The sequence below is a fragment of the Homo sapiens genome, chromosome 1, assembly GCF_000001405.40.
Source record: "Homo sapiens chromosome 1, GRCh38.p14 Primary Assembly".
NCBI classification, from domain to species: domain Eukaryota; kingdom Metazoa; phylum Chordata; class Mammalia; order Primates; family Hominidae; genus Homo; species Homo sapiens.
The window spans coordinates 20328317-20346718 of record NC_000001.11 but is presented as its reverse complement, the minus strand read 5'-3'; the positions used below and the strand labels follow the sequence as shown (position 1 = coordinate 20346718).

Here is an 18402-nt window from a genome sequence, read left to right as displayed (position 1 = left end):
ACAATTAAAAAATGACAAAAGAGAGATTCTCTTCTCACCTATCAGACTGGCAGAGTTTAGAAAGATAAACAATATTCAGTGTTGGAGAGGATGGAGATTTGAATAACCTGTGGGATGGTAAGGGGGCAGTTTGGTAACATACATCACAATTTTAAATGGGCATCCCCTTGACATTGCAATCCTACTTCTAAGAATTAATTAACCCTGAGGAGATAACCAGACAGATGCACAAAGATGTTCTTTAAGGTATAATTTACAATAACCAAATGGGGAATAAAATAAAGGTCTAAATAGATTTTAAAAATTGCAATAAATTTTCAGAGACAGTAGAAAGGAGTGGAAGAAAATGCATAATCCAGAGCCAGGGCAATAAATGTAAAGCCTGGCTCCAGCCCATCACGGCTGTGTGACCTCAGGAAAGTAACTCAGCTCCTTCTGCCTCTGTTTTCCATCTATAAAATGGGGATAATAATAGCGTCTACTTTGTAGAGCTGTTTTTGAGGATTAAAGGATTGAAAATATATACAAAGTGCTTTGGAACACTAATTGGCTATTCTGAGGATGACAGCTCCCTGCAGAGGAATATGCTATTAAAATGATATAGATTCATTTCATGGAGTGGCACTTTCCACGCCCATATTTTGTAAAATATAGCACATATTAGGATAATCCAATTCATGTAAAATGATCTGTCTTTTGATTTCTCTACATGCTGATATCCATAGAGAGAAGTCTGGAAGGATGGTCACACCAAGTGGGTGACTAGTATACACTCCTGGATGACTGTTGGTCTTAGTTATTTTTTACATTTTATATCTTTCTATAGTTTAGAATTTTCTATAATGAGCACATATTGTCCCGGTTGAAGAAATACAATAAAATCATTTTCACCTGGTGGAGAAAAGGGAGTGGGGTGATTTAACGGCCTCTGCAGAGCAGTGGGATGAGGCCCCAGGGGCGCCCACCCCCTAGCAGCCAAATCATCCACTGGGGGCCTTTCTGCTTCTAGGCCCTGTCTCACCCCGCTCCCTGCTGGTCTGTGGTCCTTTGTATCTCAGCCCCCTCCCCTAGTCCACAGGGGCTGCTTGGCCCCCAGGAGTGCCCCCGGCCGCTCGCCTGCCTTACCAGAGTTGGGGTACTCCACCACGGTGGGCAGGTACCGGCTCTTGCTCACGTCCACAGGCACGAAGGCTGTGTATTTGCTAATGATGTTGCAGGCCTTGCTGGTGTGCAAGGCGCTCACTTGGTAGCGGCGGTTGGACCCTGTGGAGGGAGAAACTGGGGTCACTGTTTGGACTCAGAAAGTCTTCCCTGACACACAAGCTTTGGAAGCTAAAAAGGGGGCTCTACCTAAGTGGTCCCCATCTTTGGGATTAAAGAAGCCTTTAAAATCAAGGGCTTGCCAACTTGCTAACTAAAGACATTTTTTAAAACAACACCATCATTTCACGTCATCATTTCACAAAATAAAGGATATTTTAATGTAAAAATGTAAGACATTGTCTCAGAATAAAAGACAGCTACTTCCTTTAAATAACTGTAGTTTTATTTTTAAAAACACCCAACCCACTATGTTGTCTGTATTTTGTACTTTAATTTTGCAGATGTCTAATGGGAACGTTGCCGTAAAACTTCACAGGTGCCCTGGCTGGTGGGTGGGGACCACTTATCTGACCCATTTAACTGCTGAGGACATTGCAAATCAGAGGAGAGTGGTGAGCTGAGGGTCACACAGCAAGTTAGGAACGGATCTGAGATCACGACTCAGGATGGTCTGACCCCAGAGCCCAATCCCTTTCCTTTGAACAGGTGAGCAGTCTCCGTGGCTTGCAGCCTGCAGAAGGCTGTATGAGGAGCCAAGGAGAGAGAGGGTAGAAAAGTGCTTCGTGAACTGTAAGGTGAGGAGCTCATGGGAAGAAAAAAAGTAACACGTACAATACAAAAATACAAGTAAAATATAAACAAAATAATATTATTACAGAAATAAAGCAAAACCCACGACAAAGAAATGATATAACCGTTCTCTATTTATATTTATATTCTCCAAGTGTGTTCCATCAAGATCCCACCAGTCACTTTCTCAGTAAAGTCTGCCCCAATTCCTGGACTAAATTAGCTCCCCCACCGTCCCTGTTATACAATCTCTTGGATCCCTGTCTTTTTTCTTAATAGCACTTAGGACAAATGCACTCAATTAATTATTTGTGTAATGATTTGATTAATGCTGGCTTCCCTGCTAGTTTGTCAAGCACTCATGGGTAAGGAAGGGATGGAGATTGCTTTTTCACTGGGCTGTTCAGCTGGTTTACCGGGCCCAGTGGGAGCCTGGCCCCCAGCAGATCCACAGTAAATAATGGCGTGATGAATGAGTGCGTGGAGCCCTTGGACTGGGGGACTTGGAGGAAGGTGTGGGCTGTCACCATTGTTCTGTCTCTGGAGAGACAGGGGCCGCTGCAGGGGAGAAGCACTGGGAAATGGGGCGCCCATAAGAGAGAGAAATGAGGCAGGAGAGAAGAGGACGGGTCACTGAATGGGGGTGGAAGAGCCCAGGGCTGGGGGAGAGGACCACTTACTCGGAGGCAGGGGGAAGAGGGTGGATCTTGGCGGGAATGGAATGGAGCCCTGGGCTATGCGTGTGTTGGTGGGTGGACGGGTGTGAGGGGAAGGGCGATTGGGAATGAGGGGAGGCACCTGAAGGCTGTGGTGTGAGGTGGAGTGGGGGAGCAGTGAGCCGTGGCGGGGCTGTGGGGAGATGAAGGGGGCTGAAGCCAGAGATGAAGGGCTGATCCTGGAGTGGGGGTAGGGAATGAGCCCAGGCACTGAGCAGAATGGGGAGGGGGCGGAGCCTGGAGGCCGGAGAGGCGAGTGGGCGGGCAGTGGGCGGGGCTGTGCGGAGGGGGCGGGTCCTGGAGGCCGACGGGAGAGGGGGGGCGGGTCCTGGGGGAAGTGGACAGGCACAGGGTGGGGGCTGGGTCAGGGAAGGAGGTGGGCTGACCATGGAGGTGGGGACGGGCTATGGCGGGGAGTGGCGGGGTGGGCGGGCCATGGAGGGGTGGGGTGTGCGGGGCACTAGGCACAGTTGTAATGAGGGGATGGGGCGAGAGTGGGGCCTGGAAGGGGAAGAGGTGGGCGGGTCATAGGGAGAGTAGGCGGGGAATTGGGCGGGGCTGTGAGGAGGGGGTGGGGTAGGACCCGGGAAGCAGGTGGGCGGACCACGCGGGGCTGAGAGGATCACCGGGGGCGGGTGGGGAAGGGGGAGCGGCTGTGGAGCGGGGCTGTCCTCCGGAGGCCGTCCGCGGGAGGGGCGCAGTTCCGTGGCGCTCACCCTGCTCGATCTCGCCCTCGCGCTCCGCCAGCTGCTCGAAGTCGCGGATGATGGCGCGGGCCGCCAGGTGGTGGAAGGTCTCGCTCCATAGGTCGGCATCCTGCGCGCCGCCCCGCTCCGGTCCAGGGGTCCCCAGCTCGAAGCTCACCTCCCACTGCAGGCGTTGGCTGTCGTGCAGGCCTTTGACCAGGGCCTTGCCCAGCACCGGGGCCGGGGTGGCGGGCCTGCTGGGACTGGCTCGCTCCTGGGACTCGGCTGGGGGGTCCCAGTCCGAGGACGTCTCTGTCTCGAAGGCAGAGGGATGGTGGGACGGCTCTGCGGGCAGAGGGACAAGTGGGCCAAGCGCTGACCTGGGGGACAGACGGCCAACTCCCAGGGGACATCATTCCTCCCCAGGGAGCAGACACTTCTAAGCAAGTACAACCCACTCCATCTCCCCAGGGAACAGGCAACTCCAACTGCTTTCCTAGGACAGCTGCGGGGGCATGGGCTTGTCCCCAAGGGAGGACAGATCCGCCTCCCAGGAAGCCAGTGCCTGAGGGGGCCAGATAGTATGGGGTGGGACAGGGGCACAGAGAATGGAGCTGCAGCCTCAGAGGCCACCCAAGAACCAGGGTGACTGGGAAGCGTGGGATTGGTGAGGTCCTCAGAGAGGGGTGAGCCGCAGCAGACCACAAGGGGACAGACCCAGGCATCTGCCCTCTGGGCCTGTCATCTGAAGTTGAACAACAGCCAGTGATTCCTCCCTGTCCCCAGTTGGGTCCTGGACCCTGTGGTCACTTACCCAGATCTCCAGGGCTTCGGCTGTCAGAAGTCCGCTCTCTCACAGGGCTCCAGGCCTGGGTCTCCTGGCCCCAGGGCAGGAAGGGCTGGCAGCCTTGGGGCAGCAGAGAGGGCCTTCGGGCCCCTGGGCCACGGAGTTTGGGGCCCTGGTTCAGGTCCTGACCACTGTTCAGCAAGGGCTAGGGATGGAAGAGGAGAAAGAGAAAGAGGAGGAGGACGAGGAGGAGGAGGAGGAGGAGAAGGAGGAGGAAGAGCTCCTGGTGGCTGGACCCTCCTTCCTTCTGCTCCCCCACCCCCACCCCACCAGCTCTTTCCTGGGGCACAGCAGCTCCTCCTGGGCACTGCCCCTCCAGTACTCAGGGACGCATGACCCAGTCTCCATTATCCATGAGAAACATCAACAATCATAATCCCAAACCATGGAAAGCCATGGAAAATCATACACCATGGATAATTCCAAACCCACTTTTTTTTTTTTTTTGCCATAAAGTTTAAACTGTTTTGTGTGTATGGTTAAAATTATCAATCTTTTTTCCTTATGTCTTCCCATATGTCATACTTAAAAGGTCTTTCTCACTCAAAAAATATTCTAGAATTTTTGGGATTTCATTTTTGTTTGTTTGTGTGTTTAAATCTTTGATTTACATGAAATTTATTTTGGAGTAAGGAGAAAGGAATCAGATTTTTTCTTGATTTTTCAAATGGTAAGAATCTCACAATTTATTGAATGCAGTTTTTCCATTTGAATCCAGGCAGTTTAATCAGTTTCCTACCTCTATCCCAACAAAGCTTTCATGCACGTTTGGTTTTATTTATGGACTTTCTGTTCTGTTTTGTTGATTTAATCTATCTATTCTTGTGCTGGTACAAACAGACATCAAAAGGCAAGGGATAAATGGAGAAATACATTTGCAATAGTCATGACAAAGATCATTTTCAAGAAGCTTTCATAAATCACTGGGAGTAAAAGACTAACTTAATAGAATAATGTGTTAAGGGCATTTGCAGGCCGTTTATAGCAAAAGTATCCAATAAACCCAGGAAAAAATTCTCAGCCTCACGAAAAATTTGAACAATGTAAATTAAAACAAGTTTGTAATTTTTTTCCATCTTGCAGATTGGCAAATATTTAAGTGTTTGATGGCACCCCTGTGGTCAATGGAAAGACAGAGTCTGTCATGGACTGTCAGTGCTAATGTAAATGGGTACACAGCTGTGGGAGAACAATCTAGCAATGTGCTATCAATTAAAATGCGCAAGCCCCTTTGGTCTGGTAATTCCTCTTTCAGGAATTCAATCTTGTGGAAATACACAAGAGTGCAAATATCGATGTGCAAGTACTGTATACTTGTTGCAGTATTGTTTGTAAATGTAAAAATCTGGAAACGATCCAAATCAGTCGGGGTTGGCATCAGTAGGGGTTGGCAAATAAGTTCTGGTATATCCCATGCAATGGAACGTCACACAACATTGAAAATAAAGAAGTATCTTTCTTCATGCCAAAGTGAAAAGACGTCCAAGATAAAACTTATTTTAAAAAAGTAAATTGTGATTGTCCTGTAACCTCATTGTGGCGATGATTACATGACCATATACGTTAGTCAAATCTCATAGAACTGTTCACCAAAAAGGGTAAATTCACTTTTAAATAAATACCTTGCACTGTTATTTATTTAAAAAGTGAATTAAAAAGACATTTGAAAAGTAAGTTGGAGAGCAGTTTTTATATGTGATTATTAAAAATACATACGTGTATAGTGTATGCATGTGTTTGTGTGTGTAGTATTAATATTTCTAGAAGGAAACACTCAAAACCAAGTGGGTCTGGGAATAGGACAGGGGGCCTTTTATTTGTACTTTATACCTGACTGAATTGTTTGAGGGTTTTTATTGCAAACACTGAGTATGTATTACTTTTGTAATTGAAGAATATTAAATTAATTAGAAATGAATTTGAAGCCTCTGGGACCATATATATCCCCTGGTAGGGGGAGGGGATGAGGGCGAAAAGACACTTACCAGGTGTAACAGTTTTTTAGGCCAACAGTTAACCATGGGGGCTTTTCCATCCCTATCAAGTATTTATTAGGAGGCGGACCGTGCTTCCCCATTAAATGGGGGCTGCCTTTCTGTCTTTCTAAGCCAGAGGTCCTAGGAAGGGTACAAGGATGTGGGAGAAGGAGGGGACTGGTCACTCCCAGGATGACCCCAGCCAGGGCTGCTAAGTCCCAGGGGATCCCTACCCTCTGCTCCTTGCCCAATCAAACACTAGGATTCCCCCAGCCGTCAACACTACACTGGGTCACAGAGAGCAACAGAAGCTGGTAACGTTTCCATGGCAACAGATGAGTCTAAGATCCAGCCCTTCATCCAGCCAGAGGGTGCATGGAGTGTGTGTGTGTGTGTGTGTGCGCGCACATATAAGTGTGTTGCGTGTGCATGCATAAGGGGGCATCAGGTTGGGGAAGAAGCCAGGCAGGAGGGGGCGAGAGAAGAGCAGAGATGGGTCTGAAGAGCTAGGGAGCGCGCAGGAAAGAAGTAAAGGGGAATCAGCCTGTCCAGAGCTCTCACCAAATAGAGCTGCCAGCCAAGGATGCCTGCTGGGTGCCAGGTGCTGGGCCAGGCGCTGCATCTTTTATCAGCCAATGCCTGGAAGAGTCCTCCACTTAGAGTTGGCTCTCAATAAATATCTTTTGATGGATGGCAGTTCAATCATGTGCCTAAGCTATTCTCCCCATTTTGTAGATGAGGCAGCTGGGGCTCAGAGAGTGGAGTGACATGTTTGAGGATCAGAGTCAGCCAGACCGCAGGGCCAGTTGCCTTCTGATTGCATCAAGTGGTCCCTCAATAAGCACAGAGAAGGGCCCCTAGGGATAAGATTGCAGTGTCCCTACCCTTAGAGAGCGGGCTTATGTGTAAGTGGAGGCAGGGAGGGATGGGGGTGGTGGTTGGAAGTGGGAGGGGGCATATAGGGAGAGTGAAAAGACTGCTTTTATGGAACCACTGCCTTACAAGGACAAATCTACATAAAGCCCATTCTTTTGTTTGTTTGTTTGATGTTTTGTTTGAGACAGGATCTCTCTCTCTGTCTCCCAGGCTGGAGTGCAGTGGCATCAACCCAGCTCACTGCAACCTCTGCCTCCTGGGCTCAAGTGATCCTCCTGCCTCAGCCTCCCGAGTAGCTGGAATTACAGGCATGTGCCACCACACCCGGCTAATTTTTGTATTTTTTGTAGAGACAGGATTTTGCCATGTTGCCCAGGCTGGTCTGGAACTCCTGGGCTCACGCGATCTGCCTGCCTTGGCCTCCTAAAGTGCTGAGATTACAGGCATGAGCCACCATGCCTGGCCAAGCCCATTCTTAATAAAATGGATGAAACCACAATTTGGTTTAGGACAATGGTGCTCAACCAGGTGATTTAGCTCCCCAGGGAACATTTGGCAGTGTCTGCAGACATTTTTGGTTGTCATGATTGGGGATGGTGTTATTCCCAGGAGGCCTCTAGCGAGCAGAGGCCAAGGGATGCTGCCGAACATTCTACAGTGCACAGAATTGCCCCCAAATATAAAATTATCGTGTCCATGGTGCTGAGGCTGAGAAACCCTGGCCTAGCTGTGGCTCTCTAACTCTCAAATTCTCTCTGCTGCCAGGCATGGTTGCTCACTTCTGTAATCCCAGACCTTTGGGAGGCCGAGGCAGGCAGATCGCTTGAGCCCAGGAGTTCAAGACCAGCCCGGGCAATATGGCAAAACCCTGTCTCTACTAAAAATACAAAAATCAGGCCAGGCGTGGTGGCCCACACCTGTAATCCCAGTGCTTTGGGAGTTCGAGGCAGGTGGATCACCTGAGGCCAGGAGTTCGAGACTAGCCTGGCCAACATGGTGAAACCCTGTCTCTACCAAAAATACAAAAATTAGCCGGGCATAGCGGTACATGCCTGTAATCTCAGCTACTCAGGAGGCTGAGGCAGGAGAATCGCTTGAACCCAGGAGGCAGAGGTTGCAGTGAGCTGAGATTGCGCCATTGCACTCCAGCCTGGGCAACACGAGCAAAACTCCATCTCAAAAATAAATAAATAAATAAAATACAAAAGTTAGCCAGGTATGGTGGCACGTGCCTGTAATCCCAGCTACTTGGAAGGCTGAGGCATGAGAATTGCTTGAACCTAGGAGGTAGAGGTTGCAGTGAGCTGAGATGGCACCACTGCACTCCAGCCTGGGCAACAGAGCGAGACTCTGTCTCAACAAACAAACAAACAAATAAACAAAAAATCCTCTCTGCCCTGGGTAAATGTATATCCCCTGGAATTTGTAGGAGGTGCAATCTAATGAGGGGGAATAAAAGGCTTTGAAGGCAGGGGGTCCTTCAAAGGTCAGACAGGTTACAATCCTCTGACTGGCTGTGTGACCTTGGATAAGTGCCCTACCTCTCTGGCTCTCAATTTCCACATCTGTACTGAGCCAAGGTGGGCCCCTAAACTCTCTCCTCCCCCAGGTCTGCTATAAAGTCAAATGAAAGAGCACATGCAAATGTTCCTTGCCAACTGGGCAGTGTGTGTGCAGGGAATGAGCGAGCTTATTGACCGGTGGGTGTCCTGATTTGGAAGGTGTCCTCGGAGGTAAGGCAGATGAAGGCCTAGGGAAGGAAAGAGGGAGTGACTCACTTGGCAGTGTAAGTTGTGGATGGCCACGTCCTGCGGTTGAAGCAGGGGACACAGCTCTCCCCTGCCTGTCGCCTTCCCCAGCTCCTCCCTAATCTGTCCTGCTTGGGTACCTGCAAATCAATCTGCCACCGCTGGACATCCAGGCTGGTCTGGTTGGTGAGGTCCTGCAGCCTGGCTTTCCGCAGTGGGTATCTCTTGGCAGCTGGCATGGGGTCACTTGCCATGGTGGCTCTTGGGAGGGGCTTGTGATTGGTGATCTGGTTGGTGCTGTATGCCCTCCGTCGCTGAGAGAGGTTCAGATCTGGACAGGGATAGTGATGGGGAACCATCAGAGTGGGACAGCAGGGAAAGAGTGGGGCTTGCATCCCCTTTCCTGTTTGGAAGTGTCTCACGTTCTCCACCTCTTGCCTACTGAAATATATGCAGATGCCTCCCCTGGCATCCAAAGCCTCTCCGGATCTGGCCCTAGTCTAGCTTCCCAGCTACTCTCCCTGCTGCTTCTTTCAAAAGGTACAATGTGGCTGGGTGTGGTGGCTCACGTCTGTAATCCCAGCTCTGTGGGAAGCCGAGGTGGGTGGATCATTTGAGGCCAGGAGTTCCAGACCAGCCTGGGCTACATGGCGAAACCCTGTCTCTACAAAAAATACAAAAATTAGCCAGGCATGGTGGTATGCGCCTGTAGTCCCAGCTATTCGGGAGGCTGAGGCATGAGAATTGCTTGAATCCAGAAGGTGGAGGTTGCAGTGAACAGAGATCGTACCACTGCACTCCAGCCTGGGTGACAGAGTGAGACTCTGCCTCAAAAATAAAAAATAAAATAAAAGGTACAAAGTGGGTCAAACACACTAGATCAGAAGCCAATTGTGTGTGTGCTTTCTAAGTGTCACACTCTCCACATTGCTGCTCAGGCAGTTTCTGCTGCCTGGAACGTCCTCTCCCTTCCCACCTCTAAGAAGCAGTCCCCTTGTGAAGTCTTTGTGGATATCCTCTAGCAGATGTGCTCATTTCTCCTGGGATTCCCATAGTTTGTTAAATTTTCTAGGGGTCCCTGGCACCCTGTCACTCTGCTTTCTATCAGAGTTAGTGCCAGATGTATCTCTCACTATGTGGAAAGCTCCGGAAGGGCAGGGGACATGTCTGAGTCATCTTTGCTTCCCATGTTGCTCTCAGCCCCTAACCTTAGTAAGGAATCGATAAGTACCCTTTGAATGGAAACTAACACCATAACGAGGCTTTGGAGTCAGATAGATCCGGACTCTTTGTCTGTACTCTACCTATTGCTCTATGAGCTAAGTCAAGTTGCTCAAATTCTCCAAGTCTCAATTTCCTCATCTGTAAAGTGGGTATAACAGTACCCACCTCTGCAGCTGCTAACTATTCAATGAGGTGGTTTTTACCAAGTGCTTAGCACATAGTAAGTGCTCAATGTAAGGCAGCAATCATCAGAGCCGCAGACGAACCGTGCTTGGTGGTAGAGTCTCCGCTGGCTAGCCGGGCATTTTTGGCCTGCCCTAGGATGAAGGGTGCCCCCGAGTTCTTGGCACAGTCTCCACCTTCCAGCCCGGGTCCGTCATCCTGAGAGTGGTAGAAGACAGAGCTGCCAGACTCCTGAGAGTGCAGCATGCTGTACCGGCGCCTCTTGTCCTGTAGGGAGAAACAGAAAAGAGGGCTAGGAGTGAGGCTAGGTGTCAGGAAGGACTTCCGCAGGGAGCAAGGGGTGTGAGCAGAGGTGGTGCGGTTTTCATCTCTGAAGAAACAGCTCAACAGGAAAGCTTTGTGTTTGCTTAGGGAATTGAGACAAACTTCTGTTCAAGAGATGGTGAATGGAATTATCGTTTCATAACACTTAGGTTGTTTATGTTTTTAATTATTGACTTCATTAAATTTTTTTAAATGTAAGTCTAAATGCCACTCCTGTCTCCAAATAGGTAACCGAAATTACCAAAATAAACCATCTGTTCCTTCCATTCCATTCTCCCTGATCTAAACATACAGTTCACCCTTGATCAACACAAGCTTTAACTGCGTGGGTCCATTTATATGTGGATTTTTTCCAATAAAAGTTACACTGAGTGTCGGCTTCTCTTGCCTCTCCTTCCACCTCCTCCACTTATTCCCTTCTATCACCTCTGAGACAGCAAGACCAGCCCCTCCACCTTCGCCACTCAATGTCAAGACAATGACGACGGAGACCTTTATGATGATCTACTTCCACTTAATGAATAGTAAATGTATTTTCTCTTCTTTATGATTTTCTCAAAAACATTTTATTTTCTCTAGCGTACTTTATTGTAAGAATACAGCACATAATACATATGACCCACAAAATATGCGTTAATTGACTGTTTATATTATCCGTAAAGCCTCCAGTCAACAGTAGCCTATTAGTAGTTAAGTTTTTAGAGAGTCAAATGTCATATGTGAAATTTTGACTGCATAGGGGGTCAGTATCCCTAACCTCCACATTGTTCAAGGGTCACCTCTATGTATAAATAACACATCAGCTGTTGGGGGTCATTTTTTGTTTCATAAAAACTTTGCTATACTGCTCACACTTATCAGTATCTTGAATTTTGCACTTGAAACACTTTGGAAATTCTGCATTTCAACTATTACTTTCTGTTTGTTTGTTTAGAGATAGGGTCTCCACACTGCACGTAGGCTGGAGTGCAGTGGCATCATCAGTTCACTGCAGCCTCCAACTCCTGGGCTTGAGCAATCCTCCCGCCTCAGCTTCCAGAGTAGTTGGGACTACAAGCATATGCCACCACGTCTGGCTAATTTTTTAATTTTTATATTTTGTAGAGAAGTGGTCTCACTAGGTTGCCCAGGCTGGTCTTGAACTCCTGGCCTCAAGCCAGGCACCTACCTTGGCCTCCCAAAGTGCTGGGATTACAGGTGTGAGCCACCATGGCCTGGCCTCAACCATTCTTTTTAGCATTTGACTGCACAATATTTTACCACCCCTTGTTGTTAAGCATTCAGTTTGTGGCCATTTATTTTTGTCACCATAAAAAATACTACAATAAATCCTTGGACATAAATCCATTACATCACTTTTATTTTTATGGGCTAGACTCCTAGGAGTAGGATTTCTGGGTTGAAAGGTTTATGTATCTCTAATTTTTTTTTCTTGGAGACAGAGTCTCGCCCTATCCCCCAGGCTGGAGTGCAGTGGCATGATCTTGGCTCACTGCAACCTCTGTCTTCCGGGTTCAAGTGATTCTCCTGCCTCAGCCTCCCGAGTAGCTGGGGTTGCAGGTGACTGACGCCACGCCTGGCTAATTTTTGTATTTTCAGTAGAGATGGGGTTTCACCATGTTGGCCAGGCTGGTCTCGAACTCTTGACCTCAGGTGATCAACCTGCCTCGGCCTCCCAAAGTGCTGGGATTATAGGCGTGAGCCATCGTGCCCGGCCTATCTCTAATTTTATTAGTTATTTCTAGGTTGCTTCCCAGGAGGGCTGCGGCAAGTTATATTTACACCAACAATATGTGAAGGTCCTCTTTATCCCTACCAGTAGCAGGGCAAACGTTGCCAGTATTGAGTAAGCAAAGGAGAATGGATTTGATGACTGCGTCCAGTCCCTTCTAGTGGGAGGGTCTGTTGATGAACTGGTGCCTTCTAGACCTCCCAGGAAGGCCCGGACTGTGCAAGGACTTGGCCAGCATTTTGTTTAGCATTTTCTCCCTGCGGCTGAACACTCCATTTTCCATAACACATTAACCATTAACCTGATCACAGTTCTGAAAACATTTCATAACATTAAAAAATCTGGAGCTTTCACATAAAGTTCCAATTTCTCCTGAAAAATGAGACACACATTTAACATAGGGCTCACATTTCTGCATGATGGCACTTTGTTAGGGCTGCGTAGGGGCTGCCCAGTTTAGCCAGGGCGTGTGCCATCCAGTTTGCCATATTCCTCACCGCTCCCTATTGCCTTTCCAACTGTGAGCTCAGTGGTAACTGCTATCCATCACAGCATTGGCCCCTTTTATTTTTACACCAAGTCCATTTCATTCATTCCACACCTGCCCAATTTCTATAGGCATTGAGTTTGTGACTTCTTTTTTGAAAAACAAAACAAGATGAGAAATCCTTTAGAGAGAGTGGACAGACTCACGAAAGAGGAAAGATAGGTGAGGAAACAGCTTCTTTGGCAACCTCTCACATTTTAGCATGAACTTCACCTCCCTTTCAGAAGTTCTTGGCTTTCATCCCACTTCTGCCACCACAGACAAGGGAATCATCCACGTAAAGAAATAAAACACAAACTCATCTAAGGAGATACGCGCTTACTAGAGTGTGTGGAGAAGGAAATCTGAGTGCATTTGTTCTTGAACTAAAGTGTGCACCATATCACTTAGGGGAAATTATGTAAAATGCAGTTTCCTGGGCTTTATCCTTGGGGATTCTTATTCAACAGACCTGGGTGGAAGCTAGGGCTCTGCATTCTTTTTTTCTTTTGAGACGGAGTCTCGCTCTGTCGCCCAGGCTGGAGTGCAATGGCACGATCTTAGCTCACTGCAAACTCCGCCTCCCGAGTTCAAGTGATTCTCGTGCCTCAGCCTCCTGAGTAGCTGGGATTATAGGTGCCTGCCACCATGTCTGGCTAATTTTGTTATATTTTTAGTAGAGAACGGGGTTTCACCCTGTTGGCCAGGCTGATCTCAAGTTCCTGATCTCAAGTGATCTTCCTGCCTCGGCCTCCCAAAGCTGTGCATTTTAAACAAGTTCTTCAAGTGGTTCTACTGCAGGGGCTCTTAATAACCACATTTTTGAGATGGTGGCATCTACCTTAGCCATGCCACTGTGATTGAATGCCTGTGGCCTGGCAACTGTAAACCCACAACTGGGAAAACTGTAAACCCACAGCTGCAAACCCACTTCCAGTTGGTTTCTAGCTGTCACAAATAGTCTTTCCAGCTAAGGCTGATTTGTAGGCATGGGTTCTGGGCCCACACGGACCCGTGGAATTTCTAGGATACTTACAGATCTGGGATTGGAGATGTGCAAAGAAGCATCACATACAATGCCATACCCCACCAGCCGTTCTCCAGGGAAGAGGGAGCTGGCGCTGACGGGTGAGACCAGGACCTCAGTGGTCTCAGGGAAGATCCACTCCACAGTCACATCGCTCAGGACTGGGGCCATGGCCTTCTTCAAGGATTTGACCATCTGTAGGGCAGGGTCAGAATGCAGTTGGGGGATGTATGAGAAGAGATGTGTACAGAAGATCATGTAAGTATCAGCTTAGTGGGGAGTGGGAGCAGGGAAGAGGGGACAGTAGGCCTTGTGGTGACTTGCCTAGCACTGAGCACACTTCTGAGCTTCTTAGACTCACAGAATGTCAGAGTTGGGGAGCATCTTCGCTTCATCTTTTCTAAGCTTAGCATTTTATTTTATTTTATTTTATTTTATTTTATTTTATTTTATTTTATTTTATTTTATTTTATTTTATTTTGAGACAGAGTCTGGCTCTGTCACCCAGGCTGGAGTGCAGTGGCATGATCTCGGCTCAGTGCAACATCCACCTCTTGGGTTCAGGTGATTCTGCTGCCTCAGCCTCCTGAGTAGCTGGGATTACAGGCACCCGCCATCATGCCCAGCTAATTTTTGTATATTTAGTAGAGACGGGGTTTCACCAAATTGGCCAGGCTGGTCTCAAACTCTTGGCCTCAAGTGATCCACCTTCCTAGGCCTCCCAAAGTACTGGGATTACAGGCGTGAGCCACTGCACACCTGGCCAGTTTAGCATTTTATAAATGAGAAAATCTGAGGCTCAAAGTAGGGCTGTGACTAGCCCAAGGGCACACAGGTTTGCGCCAAACCATGGACTGGATGATGATCTTGAGCAAATTTATTTACCTCTCTGGGCCTCAGTTTTCCCTTCTGTTAAAGTAGGAGGGTGTAGTTGAAGGATTATTTGCAATACTGAATTTGACATGTGGTAGGTATTTAGTAAATGACATGCGCTAGGTGTGGTAGGTGTTTAGTAAATGACAGCTGTGGTCATCACCTAGACTGATTTCCTTGGATGTTCTGTACTGCAAACCTGGAGAAAATGACTTGGGGGTTGTGGCAAGTATAGAGGTGAGCTTTCAAATCTCTCTTCAAGAAAGACCATGCCTTCTTGCTGCAAGAAATGCCGTTAGGTGACAGCTTCCAGATGCAGCACCCCAGCTTTTGAGCCAAGACCATCTCTCTCCCTGGAAGCCCCAAGTCAATGATTCAGCATGGCAGGGATACTAGATCCTGCTCATTTCAGCACATCCCTGACTTTGATGGGCAACCTTTGCTCCAGAGCTCCCTGCTGGATGGCTGAGACCCTGCCAGGGCATCACAGTTTGAGGCTCTCTTGCCCAATTCTGCTCCCATTTTCCTTTCACAGCTGTTGGACTGGCCTCTTGGCCTGAAGAGTTTTTCTTCCTGCTTCCTCCTCTTCCACCTTTCATAGACACTATCCCCAATAAACATCTTCACTCTTAATCCCAGCCCTGTCTTTGTTTACTGGACTGACAAGGGGATTTTCTAAGGGTTAGATTATTCGTGTCAAATGTGCAGGACATGGAAAGCAGACTATAGCCTCCTTTATTTCTGGGTTCTTTAGATTCTTCTGAGCCACCATTTGTCATCATCAGGAACATGTCCAGATATGGACCTCAAACACAACTTCAATCCATATAGGTGGTAGCTTTTCCAGGAGCCTCATCTTGTCCAGCAGTGGATGGAGTGTGTGTCCAGTGGCTGGAGACCAGGGGATCTAGCGTCCTGGCATTGCTTCAAGAGTTGCCTGCTCTGTGGCTTGCAAGTCTCTGGTTCTCATTGGGATGCAGTGTGGCCTAGTGAAGAGCTCAGATTTGGGGTGTCATCCCAGCTCCACCACTGAGTTGCCATGTGACTGGTCTGAGCCTCTGAGGTTCCAGCACCAGAAGGGACTGCGTGGGTTCTGCTGCCTACCTTGGGTTGCAGCCGCTCCCCCTCCATCAGGAGCTCAGCACTGCCCTCGGACACAGATGCCAGTCCTTTCACCAGTCTGTGGCAGACGTTGGGTCCAATTCCAAAGCTATAGCACCTGGCGGAAAGGGAGAAGAGAGGCTGCTATGTCTTATCCTCTCTGCATCTTTGCCTCCTGATGCAGAAAGGGACAGAGCATGGTCTGGCAGGATCTTGGAGCTGGCCCTATATTCAGGTAGAGGGAGAGGGAGAAGGAAGAGGGGCCATCGGGGGTACCCACATACACACCCATCAATTCACCCACAGACAGTCCATTAATTCCCACCCAGCACAGAGCGGGAGCAGCCTCTCCCTTGGCTGTGGGACCTCTCCCTGGGCTTCTCTTGTGAGTCGTGTGCAGAGGCATGGGTAGCTCACCCATTCAGAACTTGAGAGGGAAAAAGATGAACTTTGAAATCAGCCCACACTATCTTGGAAGCAAAGCCCTTTGGGAATTGTGGGTCCTATCCTCTCCCTCTGGCATTTTCCACATTGCCCTTGGGCTCTGGCGCCCCAGCCCCGGCAGCCTGGAGTCACCGAGCCTAGACCCTCAGCCAAGGCCGACCTGGTGGAGAAGGCGTGATTTCGCACCAGCTCCAGCACCTTCCCTGTGTTGTTGACAGCGCCATCTGTGATCACGAAGAGGAGCCGCGGGTGGCCTCGGTGCACTGGCTGCCTGATGACCCACTTGAGAGGGGAAAGGATGTTGGTCCCACCCATGTCGGCCTTCATTCTCTGGATGTCATCACAAGCCATGGCCAAGCTGTCCTGCAGAGAAGCAGACAGTCCCCAGTGTCACCGTATGGTACAGAGACTCTAGACCACCTAAGGAAGAGGACTTTGTTTCCCTAGATCTTCTTTTAGCCTCACCAGAGTTGACCCATGCTCCCAATTTCATCCCTGCCCACACTCACAGGAAGAATGGGTGGCCACTCATTTGGTGTCATCCTGCTCAACAGCACCCCCTACCAATGCCTGAAACACCAACCAGTTGTCCTTTCCGGGTTCTCCTTTAAAAATAGAAGCACTCCTGGAACACATTAAACCCCTGATTCCTTAGCACACATGAGGTTTCTTTTTCTCATGAGGGAGGTGGGTGGTGTGAGGGAAAGAGCACTGGACTAGAAATCTTAAGATCTGAGACCAGAGACTGACTCTGGCACCAGCCCCCTGTGACATTTTGAGAAAATCATTTCTCTAATCCAGGCTTCAGATTTCCTTGCTCTGGACCAACTGTGTGGGTCCCAACTGGCCAAGGATGGATGTCATTTGCAGCAAGAGTAAATTCCCACTGGATACAGTGACCTCCTTCTCCTGGCTCAGGGGGATGCTATTTCAACATCCACCCTTGGACAGGACTTAGAAGTAACAGCATGTTTGGGAAGTCAAGGCAGGTGGATCACTTGAGGTCAGGAATTCGAGACCAGCCTGGCCAAAATGGTGAAACCTTGTCTTTATTAAAAATATAAAAATTAGCTAAGTGTGGTGGTACATGCCTGTAATCCTAGCTACTTGGGAGGCTGAGGCAGGAGAATCGCTTGAACCTGAGAGGCAGAGGTTGCAGTGAGCCAAGATCAAGATCGCACCACTGCACTCCAGCCTGGGTGACAGAGAAAGAGAGACTCCATCTCAAAAAAAAAAAAAAAAAAAAAAAAAAAAAGGGAAAAGAAAAAAGAAAAAAAAAAGCAGTAATGGCATGTTTCAAAAGTCTTAAGATGTATGTGTAGCTTTTGAGCCAGCAAGGCTAGGAATTAATCCTAAGGGAATAATTAAAGATACATGCAAAATCTGTGATACAAAGATGACTAAATAAAATGGAAAGAACTTTAATGCTTGACTGCAGGGGTTTTGTTAAATAAGTCCCAATCTATCTGTGTAGTGAAATACTAGGAAGCCATTACAGTTACATTACAGATTAATACTTACTGGCATGGAAATACATTCATGATAGACTGCTGCGTTAGAAAAGTAGGTTACAGAACAGTATGGAAGGCCTAATCCTATCTTTATTGAAAATGTGTGTAAATGCATAGAACAAGGGCTGGAAGGATTTATACTAAGCTCTTAGCAGTGTCTTTTCTTCCTTTTATCCTGACTGACATAATCACAGGAGATTTTTTAAAAAAAATTTGTTTTTGATATGTACATTTAAACATTGTGGAATGATCAATACATATTATTCTTTTGTTGTTGTCATTGTTTGTAGAAATGAGGTCTCACTGTCCTGCCCAGGCTGGAGTCAAAGCTCCTAGGCTCAAGCGACCCTCCCATCTCAACCTCCCAAGTAGCTGAGATTACAAGCGCATGCAACATATATTATTCTTGCATTTTTAAAACTCATAACATTATTTTTAGTTGAAAAGTGTCCCATTTGCTTGTCCTTCCTCCCTCCTTTCCTTCCTTCCTCCCTCCCTCTCTTCCTCTTCTTAGATCTGGGTAGGATGCTCCAATTTTGAACACGCTGCTGGGGCCACAGCCTTCTTGTTTCACACAGTATCTTGAGCCTTGTGAGTTCCATTCTTAGCCCGCTGCCACGCCCACTCATCCACCTATTCACTCCCCTACTCCTTATCAGCCGCTTCCTTAGCTCAACCTTGCATGCGTCCATCATCCTTGTGAAACGGAGGCTTC

The 18402-nt window shown here is 48.2% G+C and overlaps 1 protein-coding gene and 1 long non-coding RNA gene across 16 annotated transcripts in view, besides 1 other annotated feature; both read right to left on the bottom strand.

Moving 5' to 3' along the window:
• The window catches only part of VWA5B1 (von Willebrand factor A domain containing 5B1), a 68644-nt gene that overhangs the window by 12800 nt on the left and 37442 nt on the right, over positions 1 to 18402 (bottom strand). For 12 of the 15 annotated variants that reach the window (NM_001039500.3, NM_001377531.1, XM_011540684.3 and 9 more), the window contains 8 exons: positions 16337 to 16539; positions 15736 to 15850; positions 13768 to 13953; positions 10233 to 10416; positions 8883 to 9073; positions 4110 to 4287; positions 3326 to 3640; positions 1126 to 1263 (listed from right to left, as the gene is read on the bottom strand). In NM_001039500.3, the coding sequence (NP_001034589.2) occupies positions 1126 to 1263; positions 3326 to 3640; positions 4110 to 4287; positions 8883 to 9073; positions 10233 to 10416; positions 13768 to 13953; positions 15736 to 15850; positions 16337 to 16539 (1510 nt within the window). Of the gene's footprint in view, positions 1 to 38; positions 108 to 1125; positions 1264 to 3325; positions 3641 to 4109; positions 4288 to 8311; positions 8745 to 8882; positions 9074 to 10232; positions 10417 to 13767; positions 13954 to 15735; positions 15851 to 16336; positions 16540 to 18402 lie in introns of those variants that run through there. The other 3 variants (XM_047445799.1, XM_011540691.3, XM_011540698.2) reach the window with 3 other exon arrangements.
• Positions 3671 to 4171: an enhancer, noted in NCBI's record as "H3K4me1 hESC enhancer chr1:20669041-20669541 (GRCh37/hg19 assembly coordinates)". NCBI's record gives its function as "activates a minimal SCP1, AML or CMV promoter by ChIP-STARR-seq in naive H9 embryonic stem cells {active_cell/tissue: H9 hESC(naive)}" and the evidence as "EXISTENCE:reporter gene assay evidence [ECO:0000049][PMID:30033119]".
• LOC124903870 (uncharacterized) lies at positions 5932 to 7210 on the bottom strand. The gene is made up of 2 exons (XR_007065527.1): positions 6680 to 7210; positions 5932 to 6259 (listed from the first exon to the last, which is right to left on the bottom strand). It is a non-coding gene; the product is annotated as an uncharacterized LOC124903870 (long non-coding RNA).